Raw genomic sequence first — 17,115 nt, 5'->3', positions numbered from 1 at the left:
GTTAAAGTCAAGCTATGTGAATCATAGCTGAGCTTCTAATACAAATCCTATCTCACCTAAGCCAGTTTGGGGTTTCTGATAACTCACTATAGGAAAAACTCCAAAATGGTTGATTATTAAGATTGACTGCTAAAACCAGAGAGAGAACTAATTTGACATGCAGCTGAAAGAATAGAGTAGTTAATTTTAGATAAAACATTAAAATATGCAATTGTATAAATAATAATAAAAATAGGAAACCAGGAAATATATACCTTACACACTTGGAGAAAAGAACTATGGGACAATGAGGAGTCACTCTTAGATCTGCAGACAACTGATACCAGGAAAAATGAAATACACATTAATTTAGAAAAATAACTTTACAGAGTCAACTATTTATAACTCCATGTAATTCAAAAGCACTTTTCCCTAGTCAGCTAGACTCCTTCTCTAAAACTCAACATCCCCTAGTCTGCCAGACCAATTTAGTTTTGATATTTGGAGTTCCTTTGAGAGTCTGTGCATTTTCCTGTTATAGCCCTTGTTACCTTACACTGTAACTGATTGTTTCCTTGTCTATCTACTCTACTGTAAGAGCTTCAGAAACATTACAGATTGTGACATATTAATTGTTGCATTCTTAGTACCTAGTGTAGAACTAAGGATGGATGGATGCATGGAAAGAAGGGAGGAAGGGAGGAAGGAAGGAAGGAAGGAAGGAAAGGAGGAAGGGTGGGAGGGAGGAAGGGAGGCAAGGAAAGAAGGAAGGGTGGATGGATGGATGTGCTTCATAAGCAGAGGTTCTGTTCAGTGTTTGCAAACATTGGCTATGCTTCAGAGTCACTGGAATGCCTTTTAAAAAGTATATTACTCCCTTTGTCTCTCCCAAGACCATTTAAGTCACAATCTCTAAGTGCATGACTTGTGCATTGATATGCTTTAAGAGCTCCAACTTTTAAATGAAGCATTGCTCTAATTTCATTTTTCCTTAATAGAATCCCATTAGAAATAGGCTGGAGCACCTGCCCCAAGCAAGGGACTCACTGGTACAGTACATACATGATGATCCCAAGGTTACTAATATTCCCGGTTCTTTCTTACCAATTAACAAATATTTATTGCAGGGCCAGTGACTATGCTACATGCCACTGAGGTAACATCCCTTGTTGTGGTTTGCTCTTTTGTGAAAATGTTTACTGAAAGAGGCATCTGTTCTTACTGGCCTCTGCATATATATATATATTTAAAGTCATCAAATATTTGAGTTATAGAGACATAACACCCTCTTGATAACCCCTCCTCTACCTCCCCTCATTTTGGCTTTTATATCCCTTGGAATAGCTGTCTTGTCATACTGGCCAAATATCTGTGTAAATGCAAATAAAACTTTATTGGAATAATTAATATAAACAACCCAGATAATTGGGATGAATATTGCCTGCGTACTAGTATCAAAGGCATTTGCATCTAAATAAAGATCTTAAAATAAATACTAGGATGTCAGGATAGAGATGGACAGAGAATATGATCTTTATTAGATGGAGACAATGGATAAATATCTCTTGGATTTGGGGCTTTTGTTATGCTACTGTTCTTGTAAGTGAAGGTTATCAATAAATTATTATAAAAGGTTTGTGTGTGATACGTTCTGACTGAATAATGCTGATTTTAATTAGCCACTTTAAAATGAATTACTAGTAATATAGCAGAAAGCCACATCAAAAGGGAGTTCAAGAACAGAAGATTCAAATATATACTAAACTGGTCACAGAAGTGACTGGGAAATAAATTATCTAGATAATTCTGATTGTGACATAATTAAGTTCAGCATCTGAGTGGGAGAATCAAATTCCTAGAAATTCATCTTAAATAGAAATTCAATCTTTAAAGAGAAATTGAAAGATCATAGGCTTTAAATAAGGAAAAATATAAAAGGTCAAACTTTAAAAGGCAATCACTCATGGGAGGTCTGGAGAATATGTAATAGCTAATGGGGAGCCCAGGGAAGATGTGTTGTTAAGGATCAAAAAATAGCAGGCTCTGAAAAATAAGGTCTTGCCAAGCAATTAGCAGTCAATAACAATATTGCCGGAGGAAAGATAGCCCAAGGGAAAGACATAAAGAAGTTGAGAAATTTGTCTTCGCAAAAGAAAAAAAAGCTTGGGGGGGGGGGCACCGTCTATCATTGTCTCCTTTTAATATATCCAAAAAAGTATGTTCAGCCCAAGAACCATGTTCCTTCTTGATGTTCTTGGGGGCCTCAATGTACTTACTTATGAAGAGGAGATAGATTTATGGTTGAAATACATTGTCTTTGTCTTCTCTAGGAGGAGGTTAGATAGATATCTATCCCCAGAAGGATTAGATGTCCTGGTCCAAATGGTGGTCAGTATTCAAAATATCTAAGCCATGTTGGTGAATTAAATGTAGCTAAACTACTGAGGACAGATGGCATTTTCCTGAGGAGTTCTGAGAGAACTCAAGGATGAACTGGGATAATGATGTCCCAGAAGTGAAAACTGCTACCATTCCTACTCTGCAGATTGCAAAGGTGAGCCAGTTGAAAACAAACTAATTAATTACTTACTAATTAGTTTTAAAAGTCTCCAGAGATGGAGATTCCTGGGAATTAGACTCAAGAATTCTCTGTTTCATCTCTGGCCAACTAGCGGAATCTGTAATGAAGAATGAGATTATTGAATTTTTCAATATAATTCTCTGAGAAGAAGCCACACAGTTTCTGTGACAAGAAGTCATGCCCAGACAATGCATTGTTTTGAAGGCACCAATAAGGAATTAACAAATATAATTTCCATTTTAAAAACTCTTTGACAGCCTACCACTCCAAAGTCAATTTCATGGGCTTTTGGCTATAATCTGTACAATAATGGTTCTGACAAAGATCCAGGACAAAGAAGACCAGGTGTAACTGAGCATTTCTCAGGATGTGGATGTGCATAAGGTGAATTGCCTAAGGGAGGAGTGCTCAATATGATAGATAGATAGATAGATAGATAGATAGATAGATAGATAGATAGATCTATGTATATATATATATATATATATGTGTATATATATATATATATGAGTAGTTTGTCAATTACTGGAGTAGGCTTCTCACAGCGAAATCTCCAGAGTGTGCATTTCTGCTAGGAAAAAACCCAAGCCAAAGAGAAGGACGATCAAACACATTTACAAATCTGTAATGTGGGTTATGTATGACATACCGATAAAGAGTCTGAGTTATGCATATAAAATCAATGAATCTGTGTAATTAGTTATAACAGAGGCAAGGAACTGGGAATACTTGTAAAGTACTTTTTGGTTCAAAGTAATTTGTGTTTCCTTTCAGAGAAATTCAACTATTTACCTTTTATTATTTTCTGTCCTCTGTCTTCCTTCTTCTCCTTCTTTCTTCTTCTTTCTTCTTCCACCAAAAAATCAAAACAAAATGTAATACATATATATCGCATATATGTAATATATTATATATAATATATATAATTATGAAATATATATTTCATAATTTCATATATATGAAATTATATATATTATATATAATTTCAGGAAACAAGGGTGAGTCATGAGTTTATACCTGGAAACTCATGTGCAGCTCTCATCACTGTGCCTCAGTGACACAAGAAGGTTGGCAGCAAAGTTTTATAACTTCAGGACTCAGCTGACTGTCTTGATTATAAAGTCATATTTTGAAGCTGTTTTATGAAGCAAGACCTTATAAATGATATTATTATTATAAATAAACTATAAATCTGACCAAATATGGAAATTTCTATTTCATATGGGGGCTACTTTATCAGTTTTTTCTTCATTAATTAAATGGTATAACCTAGTAGTATATTTGGAATGGATGTGGACTTTTTTCTGGCAATGATAATGTCTTGATCTGTGACGAAGATAGGTGTATGTTATTTATTGCAAATATGTTTAAGTTTCATTTCATTGCACTATATTCTGTGAACGTTTTTATCTAGTCTTTAATTAAACATGATTTATACAAATTGAGGTCAGTTTCCATTTAGATTGCTTGCAGTGTTAATTACAGTGCAAATAGCCTTCACTGCTGAAAGAACTCCTGCATTATACAAATACGTAAATGCTTCTGTGTAATTTGCAACTGTCTTCTAAGCTTGTGTATTACTGGGTATGTACCTATGCAGAAATGTTTTACTAACTTAGCTACTGTATTAAAAAATATGGATAACTTAAGATAACATGTATATTTTTATGAATTTAGATTTAAGTAGTTTTTGAGTTTTAAAAACATTGAAAAATGCACATTTAAACAATGAAAAGGTCATTCTATCACAAATTGAGTGTGTCTACAAAGCATTTCCATTTCAGCAAATGCATTCCAATTCATTCCACTTCATCTTAACCTCTGGGTAAAGGTGTTAACTGTTGATTTTTTAGAATCGGATGTCCTTAATTATAACTTGCTTTGCTGATGATTTATAGATGGGGCCTGATGAGCCTATAACTGGAAGGTTTAAAGGTTGATTTGTCTCAATTAGATTTACGCTCACATATTTTAATTACTACTTACGGTGTAAAGACTTGGAAGATTTAAGGAGGCAAAAAACAGCAGTGTCTTTGTATCGTTAATAGTATGTATAATAATTATTGATTGTTCTCACACTGGCTATGAGAACTTCCTTCTATTAACATTACAAATCAGCAAGAGCTGGGTTTGATTTTACTCATGATATATTTCAATCTTAAAATGAGAAAATATATAGAGCCTCTTACATGAGACTTAAAATATATGTTGTACCTATTAACATCAAATCTTTTGTGGGTTTCTGTCCCATCTTCCTTTATTCATTTCTCAAGTCCATCTCACATATGGCTTCACTAGGTTCTTCTAAAGTAGAAGGGTGAAGGAAATACCCTTTAATCCTTCTCATCCTGCTCCAAATGTTCATTGCCAAAAAAATAAAACGCAGTTGCCTCAGCCTGCACTAAGGGTTCATCATAATCTGTTCCCTATCTACATTCTCTGACATGGGATTCTAGCACTCTCCTTCATCTTCTCTGCTCCAAAATGCTTTACTCCTGTACCTAAACACACGATCATATCATGAACATTCTTCTTCAAAGTTGTGATTCATTCTGGCTCCCTGCTTGGAAATTGACTGTCATCTATATCACATCCTTATTAGTCTTAATTAAACTTTTTCTTCTTGTCTAAGATCAAATTATCTTTTGCTTATGTGGGTCCTTCAGACATGACCACTTAGTTTCCTCTCTCTAAGTATATATGAGAATAAATTTTTGCATCTAACTTTACAAAATACGGCAGTGTTTTCTCTAAGATATGAAGACATTAACCAGTTACACGTTCTCATCTAAAACAAATTGTAGTAGAGAGGATACAGGTTAAGACATATTGGGCATGTTCCAAGGTAGCCAAACATTGTTATTGTCATGCATAATTGAGTTGGCAACAATAAGTAGCATTTCATGTGGCTTACAAAATTTAATGAAAATGGTTTGTGTGTTAGTCCAATATAAATATAGTTTAATATTAAGACTAAGTGAAATTTTGATAAGATCAAAGAGAGCTGAGATTTTATTATATTTTTAAAAAGGAAAGAAATGACTTATACTCACCTTTTCTTTCCCCTCCCTCCCTCCTTCCCTCCCTCACTGCCTCCCTCCCTCCCTCCCATCCATCCTTCATTTTTGTACAGGTTCAGTATCAAATATTTAGGAGTCTATCATACTTTTTTTCCCCCGAGACAGAGTCTAGCTCTGTTGCCCAGGCTGGAGTGAAGTAGCTCAGTCTTGGCTCACTGCAACCTCAGCCTTCAGGGTTCAAGCAATTCTCTTGCCTCAGTCTCCTGAGTAGCTGGGATTATAGGCACACGCCACCACACCAGCTAATTTTTGTATTTTTAGTAGAGACAAGGTTTCACCATGTTGGCCAGGCTGGTCTTGAACTACTGGCCTTGTGATCCACCCGCCTTGGCCTGCCAAAGTGCTGGGATGACAGGTGTGAGCCACCACGCCCGGCTGAGTCTATCATACTTTACAGCACACAGATCCATCTTTTTAGAGATTAGCAGATTCTGATTTTATCCTATTATTTGAAGTTATGAGGTACTCAAATTATTTTTATTTTTTCTGAACACAGTCATGAATTATCTCTGTTCTTAAGCTATGATTGTCAACCAGAAACCAAAAGGGCTGCTTTTTGAGAGAAAGTTATTACCTAAGGAAATTTAGACCAGGCTTTCTACAGTGAACTTAGAATGAGAAGTTGACCAACTCTGCTTTCTGGAGGGGATACTAATTAGAAAAAAAAAATGTCAAAAGAAAGGGCAAAATTGAGATTTTCAAATACTTTTTTCCTTGTTTCCTTTTAGAAGTAATTTAATGATCTTCTTGCTTTAAGCAACTGTAATAGCCCAAGACTTCAGAACTATCATTTGATATGTTATAGGGTATCAGAAGGCACATTACAAATCTGGAATAAAATGTTTTAAGATTGTGCACATGACTATTTCTATTGTTTTGGTAGAAAGTTGGTCAGGAAACATTTATTGAGCCTCAGTAGTTTTCCAGATGGAGTGTGGCATTTTCAGGAATACAAGGAACAGGGCAAGATAGGAACTTCATTTGTGGAGCTCACTTTCTGACAAGGTGAAAGGGGCTAAATATAAACAGACAATTTCCAAGTCTGTAATACAGTTAAAAACAACAACAACAAACTGTTATGGAAATGAAAGCAGATAGGGAGCTCAACTGGAATAGCTCATAGGATGAGGAAGAGATGGGGAGTGGTGTGTGCTCTCCAACTACTGTACTGGCTCCCACAGAATCCAGCATGGTGCTTTGCTAAAAGGGAATGATTTGTGAATATCTGTGATTGATTGAATTAGTCATTGTTTCTTTTGTGTTCAAAGTCATATTTGTTTTCTCTGTTGTCCAAAATTAGCAAGGAAAGTAGTATAATTTGCTCGATGTTTTATGTTTCATGTGATTTTGCATCAGATGTAATAGTAGTATATCAAAGGTAAGTCCCTTTAGTCATCCTCACTTTAGAAATCCTTGAATGAGATTAGGAAGTGATCACCATTTACATTTATTATACTTTGCATGTAACGAGCTTTAGCTATTAACTCTAATTTGCTTCTCATCGTATTCATCAAAGACGAACTATTTAGAAACTAAAACATCTCTGTCAGTTAGAATTGTAATGAATTAAGATGAAATGAGACAGTGTTAATTGGCAGTTGTTGCTGCAGGGGAGGTTTCTCGATCTTGTAAGTGAAACCAATTCATCTTTCTATCAGGGTTAATTTGTTTGATTTAATTCTAAGGATACACTGAATATTTCCCCAGACTACTCATATTTATTTTCAGAATGGGAGAGTGGTTTAGTTCCATTGGCCTTTCGTCTGTATTCTGAATTTTATTTGAAATTGATTAAATATAATGGTTATTAAATTGTTGGTTTTAAGCAGCATTTGTATTACTGACTAAACACACACATGCCTACACACACACAAAGGAATAGCATTACTAAGACATTTGTATTTCAAATGTTAAAACTTTCCAATATCTAATCATTTTTTACCAATAATTCTCTTCCTCTGTCCTTTCTGTTTTTCTTAGACATAAATGAATGCGAAGTTGAGCCTTGCAAAAATGGTGGAATATGTACAGATCTTGTTGCTAACTATTCCTGTGAGTGCCCAGGCGAATTTATGGGAAGAAATTGTCAATACAGTAAGTATTCACGTGTGTGTATGTGTGTGTGTGTGTGTGTGTGTGTGTGTGTGTGTATGTATACACACACACATATATGTATGCATATATATTTTTATGTACATCATCTAAATTTATTTTGAAATCTGGGCCAAAATCAATATTATTTGCCTTCAGAGTGCATAATCCATTGAAATGGCACTTTTCATATTTGTGGTATGTTATTAATGCACACATATTCTCTAGGGTGTCTCATTTAGTGCACAATATGCATAGAAATGGTATCTTGTGACCTGAAAAGAATGATAACATTTCCTCAGATACTCAAGTTCCACGAATCCCATTTTGGTTTATGATTATGCATATGACTGAAATTTCTACCACCAAAGTGACACTTTGGTTCTGAGAGTAAATTCAGGGCATTGAAACCAGATAGACAGGGCACACTGGCTCATGCCTGTAATCCCAGCACTTTTAGAGGCCTCAGCAAGAGGAGCCCAGGAGCTCAAGACCATCCTGGGCAACACAGTGAGAACCCATCTCTAAAAGAAACGAAATAAAAATAAAATAAATCAGTTAGCCTCTGTTATAAATAAAACGTAAAAATAAAGGAGGATGCATTTGGGCCGTCCCACACGCTAGCAAGAATGTTGCACACTATTTATTTGTCTTATTGGAAGCTGAAGAAAGTAGGGTCTTGAAATGATGCATCAAATGACAGGGCAGTTATTTGCCTTAAGTGTTTACAAAGAGGCAGAAAGCACCACTTACCTAAAAAAGAAAAAAAAAGCTGGGAAAAAAGTAGTAACAGGACTAAAGTCAATGGGATGGGGCCTAAAATGGGCCCAAACACAGGTTAGTAATACTAGTGCTATAGCCTTATAATTGTTGGACAATTAGAGGAAAGTTCATACTGCTACTGCTTCGATGTATATCGTATGATCTGAGCACCACAACAACATTATGCAAATTCCAAATGTAGATGCAGATGAGACTTCAGATGCACAAACTGAGACACACCTGATGTTGTTTGCCCAAGCTTTCACAGCTATTTAGTGAGAGAAGCAGTGCTACAGGTTTCTGATTCCCCACTCAGTGTATTTTCCTCAAGACTGAGATACCTGTTTAAATAGAGAGGTATAATATAAACATGAATATACATGACACGTCCATTCTTTATCACAGACACAGACACATACCACATAGTTCTTTCTCTTCAGCCATAGTAAGAAATGTATTTCTCATTTTCTTTTTCTTTCTTTCTCTTTGGCCATGGTATTTATAAAATAAAATAGGAAATATTGTTGAATGATATATAAGTATATATAAATAAAATAATGATATAAAATGGGATGCTCATTACTGTAGTCCTGACAAACCACACAAAATAATTAAACTCTGAATATCATAGAGAAATCTTGAATTGGGAAAAAAAAAACTTTCTAAGCTTAAAGTAATTGAGGAAGGACATTGAGCATGAGTTGATGAAGAAAGGTGCAGGGCACAGAAGGATGGAAAGGGAAGGCTGAGTAAGTAGGTTGACCATACAGCCAACTAGACCAATAGTCATCCAACCAACTAACCTAGAAACCTTCCCGTGAAGCATTTAACTAATCACCCACTAAGTTAACTCAAGCTCAGGTTCAGCTTCTCTTTGGCCTGTCCCAGGCACAGCACTTGCATCCATTTCTGTTTCATGGAATTTGAAGATGGCTGCTCAGTCAACACTGGAAGTTGTGCTAAAAAGCACCTCCAAGATGTCTGTCAGTGAACATCTTATTAATATTATGATGAACAAAAAAACTGATGTCAGTGACTATTTCACCTTCATTCAGCAAAAATAGAGAATTTGTACCTGAATAGAGAACCTTCCAGGAAGGAACTTCGGCATAGATTAAAACAATACCTGGATTAGAGCATGTCTAGGCAGGGTAAGACCACCTCTGACCCATAGGAGGCCTGACTAGGGGAACAATTGCGGGGGAGAAGCCTTCCCATTTTCCTAAAAGGAGGATTGAATGGGGGACATATCATAAGAACCCTGCCTAGGAATGAGTGTCACTCTGCAGTGATGAATGAGTCTAAGAAGTGGCACATGAGGGTGTGGATATCCTAGAAGAGGAGACCTAGAATGTGGAGCTCTAGGGCATGGAGGAATAGGGAAACAGGTCGAGTGGATAGGCTGGGGATGAAGGGTTTATGAGACAGACAGTAAGGCTATGAAAGAGGGAGAGAGGCCCCTGCCCTGTCATTAGTTTGTGCCTAGTGTCTTCCAACCAGTTTTTCATGTTGTGTTTAATGAAAACCTTTGCTTTTCTGTGAATTAACTTTATATTGATACAACATTTATATTTAAATTCAGACATCTCTTTGAAGATGCATGTGATAGTGGCATGCCTCCCTTCAACTGTCATATGATCTGGCATTCTAGCATTTCCTGTATTCTCCGTGTGCTGACAAAGAGATCAGAAAGAGTCACCTAGAGAGTTCCCTAAAATATTTTCCTATTGGGGTGTTTGCTTTTATTTTATTAAATTTTAAGGACATATAACAAATTAAGGATCTTTATTCTGTCTATTGTCTAGGTTTCTTAGGATATGGTTCTACTTTTTTCTGTAGTCTCTTAAGAGATTTTAGAAAATCTAGAGTAAAAAGGGGTAATGATTTAGTTTTGCACATGGAGAACTTAGAGAATTTGCTTACTGTGGGGTACATATAAGCACCTACAGGTTACAGGTGGTACCAGCTCTAAGCTGCTTGAAGGTAAGATCTTGGAAGTTGTTGACAATACATAGATGATAACTCCTGTGCTGGTTTCTACCCTGGAATATGATTGACAACCTTTCTTCTGGACTTTGTATCATGCATGTCCCAGAGGGCAGCCTTTCCCTCATTTTTTACCAGACTTTCAATTTTAAACTGTATATTAAGGCTGCCTTTGCCAATACAATTAAATGAAATATTTTCAAAACTAGTGATATACCACATTTTAAAAACTCAAATATATTTAAGTTAAACAATTAAAAGCAAGATGTTTTTGTTGAGATATTACCTTGATAAATATTACAAAAATAACTGTGAATTATTTACTGTAATGTGTGTCTTTAATTAATTTAGCTATTAAGCACCTTTACTTTGTAAGGAATAAATTTATATCTAACTCTATTATGACCTGTTGCAAAATTACATGGTAAAAATTATTATGCAAATCAATTACCTATTGAACATTTTCAATAACAATGAAATTATTTCATGTTAATAATAAACCTTTTAATACTAGGCAAAAAAAGTTTCCTGTAGTTTTTTAAGTAATTATTTTCTAATTATACTTATAGGGGAGTTAAGGCAATAATACATATTTCTGATTTAAATAATTTCAGTTTAGACTTCTAGATGTGATTCATACAATTTATTTACTTTGGAAGATCTCAATTCTTTTTTAGTTTATTTATTTATTTATTTATTACAAGGTTTGGTTAAGTTTTATTATTTTTATATTTTACATAAAATTACGTTTAATATGTGAAAATCATTTAGATGTTCCTGTAGTATTTATCACACCATTACATCAATTCTTCTAATTAAAGTCCTAATTTAATTCCCTTGTTCATTTTATTTATTTATTTCTTTATTTTGAGATGGAGTCTCACTCTGTCGCCCAGGCTGGAGTGTAGTGGCACAATCTCGGCTCACTGCCTCCTGGGTTCAAGTGATTCTCCTGCCTCAGCCTCCCTAGCAGCTGGCACTACAGGCACGCACCACCACTCCTGGCTATTTTTTTTTTTTTTTTTTTTTTTGTATTTTTAGTAGAGATGGGGTTTCAGCACTTTGGTCTGGTCTCAAACTCCTGACCTTGAATGATCTTCTCACCTCGGCCTCCCAAAGTAATGGGATTACAGGCATGAGCTACTGCGCGCAGACCCTCATTCCTTTTAAATGTTATAAGCTCAAGTGTTCTGACAGTTATTTCCATAAACAGCTTGAAAATGATGATGAATTGGAATGAGAAAACTATTCTCATAAGAACAGATAAGCTTTGTCATGTAAATTTAACTGAACATGATGTTTAAACTAGATTAAGTGCAATGAAAATTAATAACACTTTAGTTAACTAATCTAAAAATAACTAGGATTGTTCTCATTTATTGGACTATGTGGCCCACAATACCTGTATACATTTCCCTCCTGGTTGTTTAAATATGACATTATTAAATTTCAGGAATGCCACTCAAATTCATTTTTATCACTGGCACTACTTTGGGAAAGTAAGACAGATTTCAAGGGAGCTCTTATAATGCAACATCCACAAACAATTATGACAAACAAACAAACAAAAAAACACTTGGGTGATCTCAGAGGGTTTTACTAAAAATTAAAACTAAAATCTTCTAGTAAGGACTAAGTGATGTTTCCAAATATCATAATTATCCAGTTTTTGCAAATTTAATAAAATAATCTAGATAATTATATAGTTGTTTAAGAATTCTGTGATAAGGATATTAAAATAATACCTATGAATATATTTTGAAAGTGGTAAATTAATATTTTCTTATCTCATTATTTGAGCAGCTTTAACTGTTTTAGCCATAATTATAAATTAGCTAGTATTTCCAAGCACATAAACATAGACAATATATACTGTGTGTATATTTATATAATATATATTAAAAATATATAAAATATATATTATATATTAAAAATATATAAAATATATATTATATATAAAATATATAATATATATTAAAATATATATTATATATAAAATATATAATATATATTAAAATATATATTATATATAAAATACATAATATATGTTAAAATATATATTATATATAAAATATATAATATATGTTAAAATATATATTATATATAAAATATATTATATATAATATATATAATATATATTATGTATAAAATATATATAATATATATTATATAAAATATATATAATATATATTATATATAAAATATATACTATATATGAAAAAAAGATATATTATATATATATTTTTTCTTTTTTTTTAAAGACGGAGTCTCTCTCCGTCTCCCAGGTGGCTAGAGTGCTGTAGTGCGATGTCGGCTGGCTGCAACCTCCACCTCCCAGGTTCAAGCAATTCTCCTGCCTCAGCCTCCCAAGTAGCTGGGATTACAGGTGCCTGCCACCACGCCAGGCTATTTTTTTTGTATTTTTAGTAGAGACGGGGTTTCACCATATTAGCCAGGCTGATCTCAAACTCCTGACCTCAGGAGATCCGCCCACCTCAATCTCCCAAAGTGCTGGGATTAAAGGTGTGAGCCACGGTGCCCAGCCCCTATATTCTTTCTTTTGATATCAATGTGTACTACCAAGTATATTTGTTTAAGTACATACTTGTTCACTGAAAATTGCTGAAACATTGTAGAGATAAATACATGATGAGATTTGTATTGTTATGCTCAATATTTAATTATTGCTTTTTAAAAGACAAATTTATAAATAATGACAGGCAAATCTTTTTTGTTTACTAAACTGTATCTTTTCACCAGTTCATGTATGTTGATTTTAAGCATTACTATGTGTCAAGCACTTTCCTAAGTACTTTAAATATTGATTTTTTAATCCTCTCAGCATTCTTTGTACTAGATACTCTTTACTACTGATTCCATTTTATAGAGCAGACTGAGCTATTGAGTGATTAATTTGCATAGGTTGGCCTGGCTAGTAAACTTCAGAACCTGGCCTTAATCCCAGGCATTGCAGTTGCAGAGCCTGCAGCCCTAAGCATGATATGATCCTGTTTTTTGTAGGGTAAAGGGATGCTGTTATTATACTCTACATATTAAAAACACTTACACTTGATGAGTGGCCTTGGCAAGTGACAACAGCATAAGAGGAAAGAGTGCAGGCTTTACATTCAAATAGAACTGGAAGTTTAAACATTTTCTATTTGTAACTATATGTCCTGACAAGTACATTGCCCCTTCTGAGCCTCAGATTCTTTATCTGCAGATGGAATTGATACTATCTTTTGATGGATGTAGATTGATAGGCAGATTAAAATTCATAGCATATGTAAAATACCTAAAATACCTAGTAAAACACCTAGGTCAATAACTGTTATAAAGAAATAATTGCATAAATATATATACATAGGATTTTTTAGTTATTTGAAAAAAAAATACCTGTATATCTCACCTTTTCTTTTGTCATAATGTGTGATTTTAAGTTTTATTATTTATGCAAACAACTTGTCCTTCTTTAGTAAATTAGTGTATGTCCTTGAGAACAAGCAGTGTAGATGTTAGGTATAATGCCTACATACCATGTTTTACAGATACATAAGTTTAAAAATTCCTGTGGCATTAATATAAGTTTAAATAAATATTATTTACCCAAAATCATTATAGGAGATAGTTGCTGTGTTTTTTGTAAAAGGCTATCAAAACATATGAACTACAAATACCCAATTTGATTTATCTTTTTGTATGTTTGCAGTTATTGTAAGATGTCACTGTTATTTGATCAGGTATCTTAGCGAATGACAAGCAAATGAATGTTTGCAGTGATTTTAGTGAATTACAAGAGCAGAATTAATAATTCCAGTATTTTCTTAAAAAGTGGTCAGAGATTATAGTTTTATATAATATAATACTAAATTCCTACTCTTCCCTATCCAGCTGTGACAAGACAAAAGGAAAACATAGAGAAATTCTGAAGTAAATAATTTTTTTAAAAAAGGTGTCTATAAGGAAGTGAAAATTAGAATGAAAACACACATAAGTTTTACAAGAAAACTGCCTAAGTCTGATGTTGCAATATAGTGAATGTATTCAATTATATGATCAAATAAACTAGCCACAAATATTTACTGAGCTTTTCTTAGCGTAACTGTGTACAAGATTACAAGAACATACATGAATAAACTCATTCATTCAACAAATTGTTTCACCCTCTAAAGCCGGGACAACAATGGTAATTGAAATGAATTCAGTTCCTACTCTCATAGAATATACAGATTAATGAGAGAGAAAAAAGAATTATGTATTATTTAATGATAAGATATGGTAAGTGCCATGAGGGCAAAAAAGAGGGAGCCTATGACAGGGAAGCCTTTTGTTTGGGGGAGTTAGGAAAGTGGCATGAAAGCCGAGACCATAAGAATGTATAGTATATACTCAAACAGAAAGAGGAGGGGTGGTAGAGATGAGAATTTTACAAAGAAAATGATGAATAAATAGATCCTTTGAGAATCCTCAAGAATAAACACATCCTTTGTTTATCCTCAAGAATAAACAGATCCTTTGTCTTTAAGAATCTTAATATTTAGTGGATGAGTTAAGATTGTTATTTAACCAACATGTGATAGCACCTTTAGTATATCTTATCTTTTAGGCCTTAACAATATAGAGTCATGAAATTTCATTTGGGGTTGTGATCTGTCCATGCCAAACCATGTTTATATACTAAAAATTCATCTTATAAATATGTTTTTGTGCAATCACAAGGGATTTTTAAAACATCAGAATAGATTTTAACTTGTAAATGTAACAAGAAATCAAAGAGAAACAAAGAAAAATAAATATTTAATTTTAATCCTATTTTATTCCATATAACAAATATCTGCTCTGTTTTAGAAATTTGAACAGGGTACTTTGGTAATGATTTTTGTCTCTGAAAGCATTGGCTAATTTAACTTAAGATTGTTCTACTTTGCTTGAAATACATAAAATAAAAATTAATCCAAAACTCCAGTGGGACAGAAGGACAGTTTGCCTCAGGCTGATACCTTTTGTGAACATTAAAAATAAATAAATAAAGGAATTGACTATGGGTAAATCTGAGGTGCATAACATTTAAAATCTACCTATAAATATATAGAGATACATTTACAAATAACTGTAACCATATATACTTGAATATATAATTATTTTAACTTAATTTCTCACTTCTTTTAAAACATATTTTTGTGAGTTAAAAAAATCCAGAACTCTATGCAAGTATATCAATAAAGAAAGAAACAATTTCAACGTTACTGCAGGATGAAGTTTTTGAAACAATAAACACAAAAAATTGACTCAATAACAAAAGCAAATTGGATTATTTGTGCCTGACATGGAAGTTCTATCTTCCTTCAGATGCCTCTGATTTTCCAAATGTTACACAACAGTTTTGTACAGAATTATCACACTTTGAAGGTTCACCTACTGTACCTTAAAGTTATAATGTAGTAAAGGAAAGACAAACAAGTATCTGCAAAATGTTCAAATAGACCATGTGGGACTTGTTAAATACTTCCAACAAATGGAGTCGTATTCTCATTACCTGACAGTTTTGTATTTAATTGCAAATAATTACTGAAACATTCCGTAAGAAGTTTTTGTTTTCAAATTATTTCAACATTCCCCTTATGTGCTAAACTGTATATGTCCAGGGATTATAATTTAGTTTTGCATTTATTCTCCAGGCTAAAACTTGCTCTTATATTTTCCAGTTCAAAGACAAAGAAAGATGAAGTACTCAGACATCAAGAGAGTTTGAGAACGGCATAACTTGATTTAGTTCTCATAAAATTTAGAACTGTAGTGGATGATTGAAAAATATTGCATTTTTCTCAAACTGAAAATATCACTCTTTCAGCTATCACTCCAACCCTCACCCTTACAAAAGGAGCAGGGGGACAACCCAAATAAAATATATACAAAACAAAAAACACAAAAAAACCTCTCTGTTAGGAAACTACTAGAAAAGAAGTCATCCTGGGACTAGAAAGTTGGAACACTGTTAAATTGTTAATTTGTGGGCCAGACAGTATCTTCTACATGTTAATGTGGCGTTCTTGGGTACTTAGGTGAAATTTTGGGCCGACTGTCAGAGTGAGGTTCAATTGGTTATTTCACAATGGGGAAATTATAGCACAAACCACCGGGATTTCCGCTTTTATCACACTGCTGATAAAAGCAGAGACAAACGCCTTTCTCAGAAGAGAAGAAAGAATATAGATGGTTCCTGATCTTTCACCAAATGTGCACAATTTTTCAAACGATGGCATGATTTCCTGAGCTCTCAAGGGTTCCAAATGGTTGCAATAAAACTTGACTGGCAACTATGGAGCTGAGTTTGGCAGTGACAGCAACAGCTAGTGTGACCCTAGCCGCAGTTTTCAACTGAATCAGCACACTTGGAAGTAATGGTTTCCAGCAGCATGTAAGTCATAAAGCCAAATACATGTTTTGAGTTCCCACCTTCAAAGCAATCTTCTTCAACTGAAGAATGAGGGCACAGCAACCTTTTTCACTGCTTAGGCATATTGAATTTTAGGTGCAATTGGGACATCCTGATAAGATAGTACAGCTAGTTATTAAAAATGCATATTGTAGTTAAGGAAAGCATTGGTAACAAAGATTCAGATTTACAGGTCACAT

General features: G+C 33.9%; 1 protein-coding gene across 2 annotated transcripts in view; it reads left to right on the top strand.

Annotated features, from left to right (window-relative positions):
* EDIL3 (EGF like repeats and discoidin domains 3) overlaps positions 1–17,115 on the top strand; it is a 444,327-nt gene that overhangs the window by 239,906 nt on the left and 187,306 nt on the right. For both annotated transcript variants that reach the window (NM_005711.5, NM_001278642.1), the window contains one exon: positions 7,621–7,734. In NM_005711.5, the coding sequence (NP_005702.3) occupies positions 7,621–7,734 (114 nt within the window). The remainder of the gene's footprint in view (positions 1–7,620; positions 7,735–17,115) is intronic.

This window comes from Homo sapiens, chromosome 5, assembly GCF_000001405.40.
Source record: "Homo sapiens chromosome 5, GRCh38.p14 Primary Assembly".
Taxonomy (NCBI): domain Eukaryota; kingdom Metazoa; phylum Chordata; class Mammalia; order Primates; family Hominidae; genus Homo; species Homo sapiens.
Note: the sequence above shows the minus strand (reverse complement) of the source record. Positions and strands in the feature narration are given on the sequence as shown.